The sequence below is a fragment of the Homo sapiens genome, chromosome 11 (genome assembly GCF_000001405.40).
Source record: "Homo sapiens chromosome 11, GRCh38.p14 Primary Assembly".
In the NCBI taxonomy this organism is placed as follows: Eukaryota; Metazoa; Chordata; class Mammalia; order Primates; family Hominidae; genus Homo; species Homo sapiens.
Window position 1 is genome coordinate 31,402,050 of NC_000011.10, and position 15,768 is coordinate 31,417,817.

The 15,768-nt window shown below is 36.6% G+C and overlaps 1 protein-coding gene across 1 annotated transcript in view, besides 1 other annotated feature; it reads left to right on the forward strand.

Annotated features, from left to right (window-relative positions):
* Positions 1 to 15,768, forward strand: part of DNAJC24 (DnaJ heat shock protein family (Hsp40) member C24) — a 62,976-nt gene that overhangs the window by 32,190 nt on the left and 15,018 nt on the right. Inside the window, exon 3 of the mRNA NM_181706.5 lies at positions 12,762 to 12,900. Coding sequence (NP_859057.4) covers positions 12,762 to 12,900 — 139 coding nt within the window. The remainder of the gene's footprint in view (positions 1 to 12,761; positions 12,901 to 15,768) is intronic.
* Positions 12,399 to 12,599: a silencer, noted in NCBI's record as "peak1237 fragment used in MPRA reporter construct". NCBI's record gives its function as "represses an SCP1 promoter by STARR-seq MPRAs in K562 erythroleukemia cells {active_cell/tissue: K562}" and the evidence as "EXISTENCE:reporter gene assay evidence [ECO:0000049][PMID:32103011]".

Genomic DNA, 15,768 nt, shown 5'->3' on the forward strand with positions numbered 1-15,768 from the left:
GCAATTTCACCCTGTGAGAACATCACAGAGTGCACTTACGTAAGCCATCCATATATAGACGGTGTAGCCTACTACACATTGGGCTTTGTGGTATAGCCTTTTGCTCCTAGGCTACAAACCTATACAATATGTTAGTGTACTGAATACTATAGGCAGTTGTAACACAGTGGTATTTGTGTATCTAATATATCTAACCATAGAAAAGGTACAGTAAAAGTATGCTATAAAAGATTAAAAATGATACATACCTGTGTAGGGTCCATACCATCAATAGAGCTTATAGGACTGGAAGTTGCTGTGGGTGTCAATGAGTGGTTAGTAAATGTGAAGGCCTAGGATATCACCGTACACTATTGTAGACTTTATAAACATTGTACACTTAGGCTACACTAGGTTTATACAAAAATATTTTTTAAATAATTAGCCTTAGCTTATTGTAACATTTTTTACTTTACAAAGTTTTTTAAAAAAATTATAGAGACAGGGTCTTGCTCTGTCACCCATGTTAGCGGGCAGTGGTGTGATCATAACTAACTCCAGCGTCAACCTCCTGAGCTCAAGTGCACCTCCCACCTCAGCCTCTTGGGTAGCTAGGACTGCAGACGTGTGCCACCATGCCTAGCTAATCTTGTAATTATTTTGTAGAGATGAGCTCTCACTACCTTGCTCAGGCTGTTCCTGAACTCCTGGCCTCAAGTGATCCTCCTGCCTTAGCTTCCCAAAGTGCTGGGATTACGGGCATGAGCTGCCACACCTGGTTCCACTTTATAAAGTTTATAAAGTAGGTTAGTTTACAACAGCATTTCTACAAATGTGAATAATGCATTGTACTGTGACATTATAACAGCTATGATGTCACTAGGCAGTAGGAATTTTTTAGCTCCATTATAATCTTATGGGGCTGCTATTGTATATGCAGTTTGTCATTGACTGCAGCATCGTTATCTGGCACATGACGGTATTCTCTTTTAAATTCTTAGCTATTCACTAGCATTCCCAAAGGACCTGAGTAAGGTAATTTTTTATAGATTCTTAAAAATCACAAATGTCCTTTTCAGTTAATATGCATATATGCATGTGTGTGTGTGTGTGTGTGTGTGTGTGTGTGTGTATCATTCTTCTTCATGAAGAAAAATGTTGGGGAATGCTCTTCTAGTTGTGTTACTGAACTGAACTTGGGTCTGCCCATCAGGTTCACCAAAGCCAAACAGTTACATCAAGATTTGTAGTGAGAGAAAGTGAGACACTTTTTTCAGGGTGCCAAGCAAGGAGAATTGGGCAGCTCATGCTAAAGACCCAACCTCCTCTATGGCTTATATATAAGGGTTTTTAAAGGTAGGGAAACAGAGGTTACGTTACATGCAAAGACATACATCAACACATGAAGTATATACATTGATTTGGCCTAGAAAGGCAGGACATCTTGAAGCAGGGGCTTACAAAATCATAGGTGGATTCAAACATTTTTTGATTTGCAGTTGTTTAAGGAAGCAGAGCTTTGTGTAAATACTTGGGGTCAGCATAAAAGAATATTAGGTGTGTCCCATGGGCATGACTTCCTCCAGGCCACTCAGGAAGAAATTTAGAACAAAGAAATACAGTCAGAGTTCAGTCTCCAGTTTCTTCTTATTTGAAGTCTGTGTACCAGCAGATTCATTTGGTGGTGGTCCAGGTTTCTGAAAAACAACTCAGGGCCGTATATTAAGATGTTTTCTTTAGTTTCCCTGGGTGTTACAGGAAAGAGGTCTCAATCCAGACCCCAAGAGAGGGTTCTTGGATCTCATGCAAGAAAGACTTCAGGGTGAGTCCATAAAGTGAAAGGAAGTTTATTAAGAAAGTAGAGGATTAAAAGAGTGGCTACTCCATAGGCAGAGCAGCCCCGAGGGCTGTTGGTTGCCCATTTTTATGGTTATTTCTTGATTATATGTTAAACAAGGGGTGCATTATTCCTGTCTCCCCTTTTTAGACCTTATAGGATAACTTCCTGATGTTGTCATGGCATTTGTGAACTGTCATGGCTCTGGTGGGAGTATAGCAGTGAGGATCACCAGAGGTCACTCTCGTGGCCATCTTGGTTTTGGTGGGTTTTAGCTGGCTTCCTTACTGCAACCTGTTTTATCAGTGAGGTCTTTATGACCTGTATCTTGTATCAACCTCCTATCTCATCCTGTGACTTTAGAATGCCTTAACCATCTGGGAATGCAGCCCAGTAGGTCTTAGTCCCATTTTACCCAGCTCCTATTCAAGATGGAGTTGCTGTGATTCACACACCTCTGGCATAAGGAACCAAACATTTTGTGACTTTAACTTCCTTGGCTATTATTTTAAGCTGTTATGACCTTTTGCTTACTGAGTTGCTCATTTACTTCTCAGGGCTAGCTGAGTGCCTTGAATTTTCCTTGAGGGAACTTAAGATTTTCCTTTATTTGCAAGCTGGGGGTGGAAAGCAGCAGACCCCAGAGAGGAATGCCTGTGCTGTCTCAGTTGTCAGATATTGTGGTCAGATTTATTAATGCCTTATTATTTATATAATTCTCTCAAATTGACCTTTACAATTTTATTTCACAACAGATGTCTGAAGAAATGAGTTTTTATTATCTTTAGAGGTAATGAGTGCCTCAAGCAATAGTGATTATTAGACTCATAAATGCATGCAAACTCTAAATAAAAATGACCCATAATAAGCTTTTATTCAGTGTTTATGTGTATGCTGCTCTTTGAAATTCCTCAGTGGTAATCTGTTTGGAATATGTATCTACTGTAATGTCATGGAAATTCAACAGTGGTCATATTGGGGCATTGCAAGACAGTACTTGAGTGGGACCTTCCCCAGAATCATTTGCAAAAAAAAAACCAAAACACAAACACCAACCAAGTCTCTTTTTGCTGAGATTCTGATCTCTTGTTGTTATGACACTTATTCCCTTTTTGGTAGTACAGAATTGGTATGTGAAACATTAAAACTGTTTTCTTTCAGGAGAGTAGAAGGAGGGTAGAGAAAGCGGCATTAGGAATTCTTTTTTTTGTTTTTTTTTTTTTTGAGACAGAGTCTCCACTCTGTTGCTCAGGCAGTGCAGTGGTGTGACCTCAGCTCACTGCAACCTCCGCTTCCCAGATTCCAGCGATTCTCCTGCCTCAGCCTCCCGAGTAGCTGAGATTACAGGCACGTGCCACCACACCCAGCTAATTTTTGTATTTTTAGTAGAGGTGGGGTTTCTCCATGTTGGCCAGGCTAGTCTCGAACTCCTGACCTCAGGTGATCTGCCCGCCTTGGCCTCCCAAAGTGCTGGGATTACAGGCATGAGCCACCGCACCCAGCCAGGAATTTTTTTTTTTTTTTTTTTAAGGATTCGGCCTTGACCATATTTAAGTCTCATAGCTACTGTCTTAGTCCATTTCATGCTGCTATATCAGAATACCACAGACTAGCTAATCTTTTTATTTATTTGAGACAATTTTTTTGCATCACCCAGGCTGGAGTATAGTGGTACAATCATCGCTCACCATAGCCTCAATCTTCTGGGCTCAAGGAATCCTCCTACTTCAGCCTCCAGAGTAACTGGGACTGCATGCTACCATGAAAATTTGTTGTAGAGATGAGTTCTGTGTTGCCCAGGCTGGTCTCAAACTCCTGGCTTCATGCAGTCCTCCCGCCTCAGCATCCCAAAGTGCTGGGATTACTTACAGATGTGACCCCCTGCACCCAGAGTGGTCATTTATAATGAAAAAAAATTTATTGGCTCACAGTTCTGGAGGCTGGGAAGTCCAATATTAAATGGCCAGCATCTGGCAAGAGTTTTCTGTTTACTGCTGTCCCATCCCATGACTAGCAAACTCAAGCGCCTGCTACATAGGCAAAAGGGGGGCCAAAATTAGCCTTTTATAAGGAATCCACTCCAGAAATATAACATTAGTCTATTCATGAGGGCAGAGCAGTCATGGCCCAATCACTGCTGAAAGGTACTACCTCCTAGTACTGTCACAATGACAATGAAATTTAACATGAGTTTTGGATTGGGCACACGTTCAAATCATAGCAGCTACAAATCCTTTTTTTTTTCCAAATGTATTCTTTTGAATGCATTCCTCTTAGTGTTTGTTTCCTCTATATCTCATTCCTCAATTTGAAAAGTATTTGAAGGGAGATCATTGGGCTGAAGCATTTTCATATCATTTTTTCATAGTTTCAATGTAATAGAATGACATAGTAAATACTTGTTCACTAGGAAAGAGTATGAGAGAAAAGGCACTTAAGTGCAGTACCTCAGACTAAACCTAAAATTTATCTCTCCTCCTGTATGTTGCTGACTAAAATCAGTAAGTTTCATATTTTGTACTTTTGGGGAAAATATTAAACACACAGCTTAAATATACAAATATTTATGAAGGATACTTGTGCGAAGAGGCACTGTGCTGATCTTTGCACAGATATGGATATAGTTAAAATACGGTGTTTATATATTCAGTGTTTAATACTTGTAATAGATAAAGCTTGAATGGTAGGTTGTGGTTCTTATATTGTAGGACTTTACTTTTAAGGATAAAGAGTTTCACTGTAATTCACTATGCATTAGTTGGCCCTTTAAAATTTATGAGCTGGGGAATGACATGGTCAGAGTTATGTTGAGTGACTTTGAAGCAGGTAAGATGGATTGGAAAGCTGTTAGAAGATGATTGCTGGGGACTAGTTAGGAGCTAATGTTGGTCTGTACTAGGTTTGGTATTGGGAATAGAAAGGAAATTATGTAGGTATAATCTATAGATTTGGCAGTTCATGGGAGGAGGGAAAGAGGGGTTACCCTAATATTGATAGTCTGGATTATTAGAAAAATTTTTCCCCTCTCATCCATTCATTTAGCATTTATTGAGCGTGGAGTTATTTTTTAACAGAGCAAGGAATTCAACAGGAGGATAAACAAATTTTAGAGTCTGGATAATATATTGGATATCAAACATATTAAACTTGTGCTGACAAGGTAGCTTCTAGAAAGTATTTCAAAATTTGGTTCTAGAATTCAAGAAAATTTGAAGCTAGAGACAGAGAGCTAGCATCCTATTGATGGTACTAAAACTCATCTATTAATACATAGGGAAAACCAAAGTGCTATGTCCTCAAGTGCCACATTGATAAATCAAGTAATATTAGCCTATTTGGGGATTTCTGTGTAATCAGATTTGCCCAGAGTCCTTTTCATGGTTTATTGTTACTTCTTATGTATAGTTTATATTTTATGTATCAAAACAGCACAATCACAAGTGTGTAGTTAAGGATTAATATATGTAGCCACTTTACCATAAAACTCTTACGTGTTTACTGTAAAGAAATATCATTTCATTTCAACTTTATATGTTGTGTAGCCAATAGAAAATATCATTTGGAGCTAATGAATATATAATATTCACAAGGTGGATGGATTACTTGAGTCTTGGAGTTGGAGACCAGCCTGGGCAATATGGAAACCTCATCTCTACAGAAAATACAAAAATTAGCCAGGTGCGGTGGTATATGCCTGTGGTTCCAGCTACTTGGGAGGCTGAGGCGGGAGGATCGCTTGAGCCTGGGAGGCAGAGGTTGCAGTGAGCCAGGATCACTCCATTACACTCCAGCCCAGATGACAGAGAGAGATCCCATCTCAAAAAAAAAAAAAAAAAAAAAAATATATATATATATATATAAAATTTTTCACTAAAATCTTTTAGAAGTTGCTAGAATTTTCACACTGCATTGTATGATGCTATTTTCATAATTTTACATGCTTCATTTCTTAGTTGAAAAACTTGTTTCTGTGCTAAATTTATCAGTGGGTATCATCATTAGTGTTAAGTAGGTGAAGCCTGATACAAATTATGCCCCTCTCTTAAAAAAAAAAAAATAAACAGGTTAAAATACCACTGGCATATTGTTCACATTTCATCAGCATCTTCATCTGTGACATAAGATGGTATCAATACAAACAGTGGAATGAAGAAGTTGACATTTATGATTAGTGAACGAAAGGTATCAAATATAAAAAAAATTCCGACTTGAAACACATTGCAATTTTCATTGTGGTGTTACAGGTTATTGGATTTTTTCCCCCTCTTTTTGGTGTACATACTTGGAAGGACGCATCTGTCACAGGAAAATTTTTGTGAAGCACTCATCTTCTGACTTGCCCATGAATTCCTTGTTTTAAGCAGTCAAGGCAAACAGTGTGCTTCTCAAATTTTAGCACGCGTAACAGTTGCTTGGAGAGCTTGGTGAAACAGAGATTCTGGAGTCCTCCCTCTGAAGATTTGAGGTGAGTCCCAAGAATTGATATTTGTAACAAGCTCTCAGATGATGCTGATGCTGCAGTTCTGAGGACCACATTTTGAGTAGCACTGAGGTGACACATTGTGACAGTCACTCTGGAATTAGTAATTTAGAAAGCACTTAGACTTAATATGTAGAGAGACTTTAAAATCAAAATAAAATATTTCATACTGGACAGCCCATTGCCATAAAATCTCAGCTGATGAGAATTAAGATTTCATAACTGAAGTGTTACTTATCCATGAAATAGTCATTTAGAAAACAGATAACACATACCAATCCTGATGAAATATTATATCATTTCCTGTATATCTTTTGTAGTACCATGAATGATCCTTTATTTTTGTATCAAGAAAGTTTCTTAATCTATTTTTGTGTTAGTTTTTCTTATTCTCAATGAATGATATGGTAATTTAAAGAAGAATTTAAGTTTATGTAATTGAAAATTTTCCCCAAAATTTGAGGAAATTACTTAGATCATACAGTTATAGGTGTGAAGTCATTTCAGAGTAATAAAATAGCACTTTACTGAAATTTTGGAAATAGATGTCTTTGTATAATAAAGAATCACACAGATACTATCACTCTCAGTATTTCTAATATTGTGACATATTTATGGTATTTTAATTTTGGATGCATTTTGGCTTTCTACTCAACAATGCTTAGCCTTTTAAAATGTTTTGAAGTTATTAGAGTTGGCAAATGTGCTTGAAAGTAATAAAACAATTTCCATAAACTAGTGTGTAATTCAAGCTTTTCACTAATTCATGTTAGTTTTTCCATTAATTTTTTGGTTTTCTGTTGTACTTGTTTTTCTATTAATGGAAGAAATTCCTTATTTTTCCTTTATGGCTTAGAAAGATTTGCTAAATTCCTTTTTAAAAATTTAGACATGTCTGAAGATGTTTTTCTGTTGATATTGTCAACATAAAATGAAAAATGCACAGATCTTAAGTGTTAAGTTTGGTGAGTTTGATATCATGTAAATACCACCCCAAATAAGATATAGCACATTTCTGTGCCTCCAGCAAGTTCCCTCATGCCCCTCTTTCTTAATTTCCACTACCTGTTCTCACCTGGAAACCAACTTTTTGGTTTCTGTCGCCACAGATTAAATGTACCTAAATTGGGATTTCATGTTCATGTAATCATACAGTATGTACTTTTTGTTCTTGCTTCTTTTACTTAACATATATTTTAGATACTCATTTGTGTTATTGAGTGTGTCATAATTTGTTCTTTTTTAATTGTTGAGGAATATTTCTCTTCTATGGATTTAAATAAAATGTATTTACCTATTCTGCAGTTGATAGACATTTATGGTTCCAGTGTTTTAGTAAGACTGTTATGAATAAGACTGTTAATCTATTCTTCTATGAATCTTTTCGTGGATGTGTGATTTTCATTTTTATTGATCATGGAGTAAATGTATATGTAACTTTATAAGCAATTGCCAAATTGTTTCCTGTCAGCAGTATATGAGAATTCTGGTTATTTCATATCTTATCAACACTTGGTGTTATCAGCATTTTTTTTTCTTTTTCTTTTTTTTTTTTTTGAGACAGAGGCTTGCTGTGTCATTTAGGCTGGAGTGCAGTGGCATCATCTCCGCTCACTGCAACCTCTACCTCCCCAGTTTAAGCAATTCTTGTGCCTCGCCTCCTGGGTAGCTGGGACTACTGGTGCGTGCCACCACACCTGGCTAATTTTTGTATTTTTAGTAAAACTGGGTTTCACCATGGTGGTCAGGCTAGTCTCAAACTCCTGACCTCAGGTGATCTGCCCACCTTGGCCTCCCAAAGTGCTGGGATTACAGGCATGAGCCACCACCACACCCAGCCAGTCATTTTTATTTTAGCCATTCTTTTAGATATGTAGTAATATCTCATTGTGATTTTAATTTGCATTTTCCTAATAACTAATAAAAAGTTTATTTCCTAATAACTAATAAAAAAGTTCATGTGCACACTGTCTGTTCATCAGTTTTCTTTGAAAAAGTATCTGTTCAATTTTATTCATCTGGTTTTTAATTAGTTTTGTCTTTTTATCATTGATTTATAGGTTTTATTCATGTATTCTGATACAAGTCCTTTGTTAGAAATATATGCAGCCAGTATTTTCTCTCAGTCTGTGGCTTGTTTATTCATTTCCTTAGTGGTATCTTTGATGAGCAGAAGGTTTTAAAATTTGATGAAGTTCAGTTTATCAGTTTTGTGTTACACAGTTTATGCTTTTTATTTTCTGTCAAAGCACTGTGTGCCTACCCTAAGAGGCAAAGATATTCTCTTGTTGCCTTTATGGATTACTTTTATGTGTATGATTCATTCTGAATTAAGTTTGGTTTATGGAATTAGAAGGATTGAGGTTATTTTTTCTCCCACAGGGATATCCAGTTGTTTCGAAACAATTTGTTATATACTTACCTTTCCTCATTGAATTGCTGTGGCAGCCTTGTTGAAACTCAGTTGACCATATATGTATGGTCTGTTTCTAGGCTATCTTTATGCTAGTACTACAGTCTTGATTACTGCTGAAATTTTGATAGGGATTGTATTAATATATCAGTTTGTCCATTTTCCCTAAACTGATATATTAATTAATGCTTTAGATTACATCTGTCTTTTATTTGATAGGTGAATGAATGAAGTGGGACTAGCTTTGGGCTCTCAAGAGTAGGAAGGTCTTTGGCTAGTGGGGATTAAAAGAAATTAAGGGCAAGAAAAAAAATAAGACTTGACAACAGAAGGAAAATGACTGTGGTCTTTTAGGATCATAATGAGTCGACCTCCCACAGGATAGGTCAGATTTAGAAATAGTAGGAACAAAATTAACATAGACTTTGAGATCGGAAAGTCTTTAAACCTAGGATTAGGGGCTTGTTTTCCCATTGGCAATAGAGAAAAATACCATATTTTTAAGAATGTGTGTAATGACACCATTTTATGAGTAGCCCTTGTAATTGAAACTTCTTAAAACATTCTAGTGTCTTGCATTCCAATTTTAAATCATAAATATATTTGGACTGGGTTTTAATTTCTCATAGCAGTAAAAACAAACTGTCAGAAACTTGGGTGGTTTCAAATATTTATTCTTTTATAGTTCTGGAGAAGTCCAAAATAATTATAACTGGGCTGAGTTCAAAGTGTTGGCAGCGCTGCACTCCCTCTGGAGGATCTGGTGGAGAATCCATTGCTTGTCTTTTCCAGCTTCTGGAGGCTGCAGGCATTCCTTGGCTTGTGGCCACTTCACTCCAGTCTTCAAGGGCAGCATTTCAGATCTCTCTCTCTCCACTGTCTTCACATCACCGTCTCTTCTGTGTGTCAGCTCTTTCTCTGCCTCTTTCTTCTAAGAACACTTTGAATACATTTAGAGCCCAACCAGATAATCCAGCAAAATCTTCCCATTTCATGAACTACAACGTAATCATATCTGTGAACTCCCATTTTCCAAATAAAGTAACATTTACAGGTACCAGATATTGGGACTTTATATATTTGGGGGCCATTATCAGCCTACCACAGACAGTTACTCCTTTTCTTAGACCTTCACTTTGCTCTGCAAGTTGCTGTCAAAACACATTGGACCAAGGCTTTAAGCATCCCAAATGATATACTTATTTTCTTGCTATAAGTGTCATTTTTTAATGGAATGTACCCATTAAATAAATGTCATGGAATCTGAATAGACTTAAAGCCTCAGATGGCGAGCACCTTATTTCAATTAATAATCAGGAAAATACCAAATTAGGGAAAGAGATTGAATTGTACTTTGACTATCATAGAACTGATTTGTGACTCATAATAAAATTTAATAATATTTTTTAGTTTAGGGCAGCCAGGAATTAATTCCTGGTTTTATAGGGCTTTCTGGGTCAGATTGGTGCATGATCAGGCCTAACCTCTTCTATTCATTGTACCAAGCAGACTTCCTATATTGGCCCATGACAAATTACCTACCTTTTGATCTTTACTCCTACTTTATAGATACAAATTTAGAACAAGTTCTCCAGGGCCTTAATGCTTGTGACATACTGAATTAAGAGTTTTCCCCTGTAAACGTATCATAAATGTATCCTGGCATATTTGAATATGTTACATATAATAACATTTACTTATACTAAGCTTGTTAGACAATTCTTAGTGTAGTGTTAGAGGAATGGGTCAGCTAGAGAACTTTAATGCAGCCAACTCCACTTTGGCTTAGGGATATTGCCTTAATATCCCAACTTTAGAGATTGCCAAAACCTCAGTATAGAAATAATTTTTATGAGCATCATTTGATAAATCATGGGCAAAGAAGATGAAACAGTAAAGCCTTAGTTTCCTTTTCTCCAGTGCTTATATTAGTTTAAATATCTAAATGTTGATAACTGATAGATTTCATAGGAAGGGAGGTAGTTTGCCAAAGGGAAAATGGAAGCCTAATCCTCATTGTTTGCCGTAGAATCTTTGTCCCAGCCTGTATGATGTTTACCAGGTTCTTCTGTGTAACCAAATACCAGGATAGCATTTGCTGTGCTAGAGAGGATTTCAGAAGTGTGAAGAAGTTCAGCATGAAAATGAATCTATTTTTAAAATAGTCTGTGATTTAAGTAAAACTTACATACATTACAAATTCTAGATTGAGAATTGAAGTCATTTCGCTTCATGGTATTTGACTCAATTTACTGAGTGACTTTAGCCTTCGCAATTTAGATAATAAATGACATGGTACTTGCAATTTTTTTTGTGCTCCTGATAATGTCTATAAGGCAGTCAGTGAAATAATTTAAATGATTGTACCATTAATTGAGGAATGTATGAACCAACCACACTGATGAGTCATGAAATGTGCACATGGTTACTTGCCTGTTTATTGTAAAAACTTGGAAAAAAGAGTAAGAAATTAAAAAAAAACTATTCTACATTAAAAGGACATTCCTAAGTTTACTTTTTGAAATTAAAATATAAAACTGTCAAAGTAATTATTGGATAAATACTATCTTTTTTTTTTTTTTTTTTTTTTGAGACGGAGTCTTGCTCTGTCGCCCAGGCTGGAGTGCAGTGGTGCAATCTCAGCTCACTGCAAGCTCTGCCTCCCGGGTTCACGCCATTCTCCTGCCTCAGCCTCCTGAGTAGCTGGGATTACAGGCGCCCACCACCACACCTGGCCAATATTTTTGTACTTTTTAGTAGAGTCAGGGTTTCACTGTGTTAGCCAGGATGGTCTCGATCTCCTGACCTTGTGATCCGCCCGCCTTGGCCTCCCTAAGTGCTGGTATTACAAGCGTGAGCCACTGCACCCGGCCATAAATACTATCTTTTAATGATAGATTCATTTTCATGGTGAGCTTCTCCACACTGCTAAGGATCCTCTCTAGCACAGCAAATACTATTCTGATATTTGGTTACACAAAAGAACCTGGTAAGCATCATGCAGGCTGGGAGTTCCTTATTTACTTGAGAGTAAGAAAATTTACATATCTGAATATGTGCTATTGTTAACCCTAGATTTTTTCACTGAAATGTCTCTAAATTTAGATAATCTTTTCACATTTGTTGAGAGATTTCTGAAAAGCAAATGACATATTGATCCTTTCAGAACTGTTAGATAAAAAGAGAAGGGAGAATCACAGAGAACATAGAAGAAAAGGAAGGAAGGAGATAGGAGAACTGATAATAGAAGTGATCCTTACTGGATAACTATTTAGTGAGCTACATGTATATCAGCATTTAAGAATTTATGAATTGGCATAAAACTTCTGGTTTTGACCCAGTAGTATAAATAAATTACTGCATATTGAAAACAAAAATTTTTAGACTTTTTAGAAAATTCACATAAGATTCTTTAATGAATTAATTTACATCCAAATGTTTGAATTCTTTAAAGTTATTTCTTACAAATCTGGCCTAGAATAACCAGTTTTTAATAAAAATGTATGCTTGGGGATTTATAACTTTATAATCTTCAGGGCTGGGGAAGAAGATGAAAGTTGTCATGTTTATAATTAGATATATTTTTATTTAAAATTACGATTGTATAATTTCATAAGGAAGACCTAGTGGTCCATTTTATAATGCTGTCTATAGGTAGGCACATTGTGTAAGGAAAGCTTCATACTCTGCCTAATTTGTGCTCTTCCTGTTTCATGTCCTGCTTGTCTGCACGTACCTATTTCTATTTGTGTTAGTCATCCTCTCTAGGTAAACTGTCCATGAGACCAAGGATTCCATGAACAAATTATCCAGAAAATGCTGTCTTTGCACGTTGTGACAGATCATGTCACTGGTGGATTTATAGCTAGTCCAGTGGTCTAATTAACCTGGCAGTTGTCTCCTGTGCCCAACACTGTTGTCTCATTGCCTTGGCATTTGGTTTTCATCTTCTCATTACCTTCTTAACTAAAGCTCAGATTTACAATTTTTTTAAATCTAACCCCACTCAGCTCTCTCTACTCACCCCCTGCACCCTTCTTTTTGATTGGCAGTATCATCCAGATAAACAAAGTACAGATGTACCAGCAGGAACAGTGGAGGAATGTGTACAGAAGTTCATCGAAATTGATCAAGCATGGAAAATTCTAGGAAATGAAGAGACAAAAAGAGAGTATGACCTGCAGCGGTGTGGTAGGTGCTTGTGTTGAGGAGCCACAGCACATCGGCAACTCTTAGAAGCACACTCTGCAGCCATTCCTGGGGAGCATTTTCCAGCATTTGCACCAAGTGTTATTGTTGCCTTTATTCCTCCCCTCCATCACTGTTTTTAATTATGCCCTATTCTTAGCAGTGACTATTGTGTATCCATTGAGAAGTTAACAAAACTACTAGGATGTGGCTTCTTGTGAAGCCTTGAAAGCTACTTTTTATAACATTTGAAAAATGTTTAATTACACATTACTAACTAATATGCTTTATATGTTTAAAAACTTTTTATTAAAATAAATATGGATTAACATTTTAATTGTACTTTTAAGACTATACAGTATAAATGACAATCCAAATGAAGATACTATATATCAGATGACATCATAAAGCACTCTGCTGTCTTTGAGCTCATTTTAGGCTGGGTTTCATGATTATCTTCATGATAAACTATTCCTTGTGATTGGTATAAATGATATTTTAGGAATGCACATTACCTAAGCAATTTTAAAAGTCATTTCTTTTATGCTTTTTAGAAAATAGCTTTTTAAAACAGTGACAAGCTGTTATGAGAAAGAAAGAGGGAAATGTAGGTCAGGTTTGTCACACATGGACTGCAGTTACACGAAGTGATAGGCTGTCTTTCAGCACTGGCCTAGGGACAGGAGTCCCTCAGCCTTGTGTTTGAACCTTCAATATGCACCCCACATGCTAATGGGAGGAGTCAATAATCAGTTACAGCCTGTGGGGAAAACACTCAGTCGCTCTCTCCAATAGCATATCAGGCTCAGCATTGACTGGGATGTGTTGATAAAAGCTGTCTCGTAGTCGCTTATTGAATCCCCTCCCATGCCCTACAATGGCACACCATCAGACCTCACAAAATGATTCTGAGGCTTTGTTAGTACTAAGGTTATGAAAATTTGATTTGAGAAGCAAGCCTTTATTTTTAAAACACAGCATTATAAGATGAAGCCAGTGACATTTGCAAGACATCCCTATTTATTTTCAGAGGGATTTCTACCAAGAAAATTAAGGTTTCTTATAGGCTGTGTGATACTTCTGTGTGGAAAGACTTGAACTGTTTATGTACTGGAGTATTTGTTTATAAGAGTGACTTATTTATAGTACTAATCAGCTCAAAGGCTTTACTACTTTTTAAAAGACTGATGAGCTTATTTTTTTCTTAAATATTAAGAACCTGATGGGTGTACCTTTGCTTTTCAAAGCAAAGGTTAATTTTCAAAAATGGCTTGAATATTGGGTTCTGCTTTTGCTGGGTGCATAATGAGCATCTGTCTAATGTATTTATTTTTTAAACATGTTTGTACTTTTTGCAAAAGAATGTAGAAGTGGCTTCGTTTGATGATAAGTTCTACCCGTTGGTGTATCTTTTTAACCTTGGTTCACATGATTTCTATGAAAGAATTGAAACTAATGCACATGAATGTGTTGTGTGTTAGAAGAAATCTACATTCCTAAAGCCACTACGCTCTACTGAAGATGATGATTCTTTCAGGTGTTTTTGCACATCTTTACTAGTCTCTACTATATAGGATGCCAGTTTGCTTGAGATAAAAATAATTCACACGACATTGTACCCTAAAGAGTATAGGGTATATACTTTCAATGTTGCTCTACATTTTTGCCACTCCACAGCCTGTGTACTATTAAGAACATATTAGTGAAGTTGACTAGAAGCCTGCTCTCTAAAGAGGTAGGGAGGGATCAGGAATCATAAAAATATTTTCTCAAGAAGCTACAGGGTGGGGTAGGCCAGAAACCAAAAGAAATAGGAAACCAGGTTAAAAGTTAGCAGAGAATTGCATGAAGAAAGATTTGAGAGATGTCAGAAGACAAATAATCATCATATTCATGCCTTTTTCATTGTCTTCGAAAGGTCCTTGGAACTGCGGATTTCTTTTGAGCTTTGAGTCCTACTTTTAAGATCTTAATGGAAGCACCTGTGGCCTACTGTGTCACAGGGTACTCCTGTAGGTCATAGATGAAGTCACAATGAAGTTTAGACAAAGTAAATACTGTGAGAGTTGGACCTGATTCATGATTCAGATAAATAGTTTGGAATTTATACAATATCAGTTTGCTCTGCAAGTTTTTCAGGCAGCATATTACTGAATTTAGCTGTTCTAGAAGGACAGCTTTTCATGACACTTTAGTACCTCAGATTTAAGTACTAAGTATTGCCTCTTTTACCAGAGGCTCCAAATACTGACACTACTTTGTTTCAATTTTAAATGGAGATTGACATACTGTTTAGGTAAGAAGAGTATCCAAATATAACTTGCTATTTTTAAGCCTTTCATACCAGAGCTATTTTTCAAAACTCTTACAATAAACCTACTTTCATATTGTTATTTCTTTTGAATACCGTTATTAATTTTTTCTTCTTGACTCAGCTTCAGTAAAATGGCTCCTCAAAAAAAGGAAATGAACTTGAACATCTCTAAAAGTGAGGATTTAGGTTTGCTAGAAGGAAAACCTTTGAGAGTAATAATTTGTTAAAGACCAGGATAGGTTACCGAGAGAGAGAGTTTGTTATAACCAGGTCAAAGCACTCTTTTTTTCTGGGTCACCCCCTGGGGACATGGAAATAGCTTTGTTATACAGAACTCTTTTTACATGTGGTGATAATTCATTGTAAACCTTTCTTTTCATAGGGGTGTGCTTTAAATATGTTTGTTTCCTGCCCACCATTAACTTGCAGTATAAAATAAAATTGAGCTCTCTAGTACTTGGGAAGGAGGTAGGAAATGCTTTATTGGCTGGTCTTGAATGCTTTCTCGTGTTTCATAGCTCCATGTTGGTGCTCTGTCTTAAGGAAAGCCTCATCAA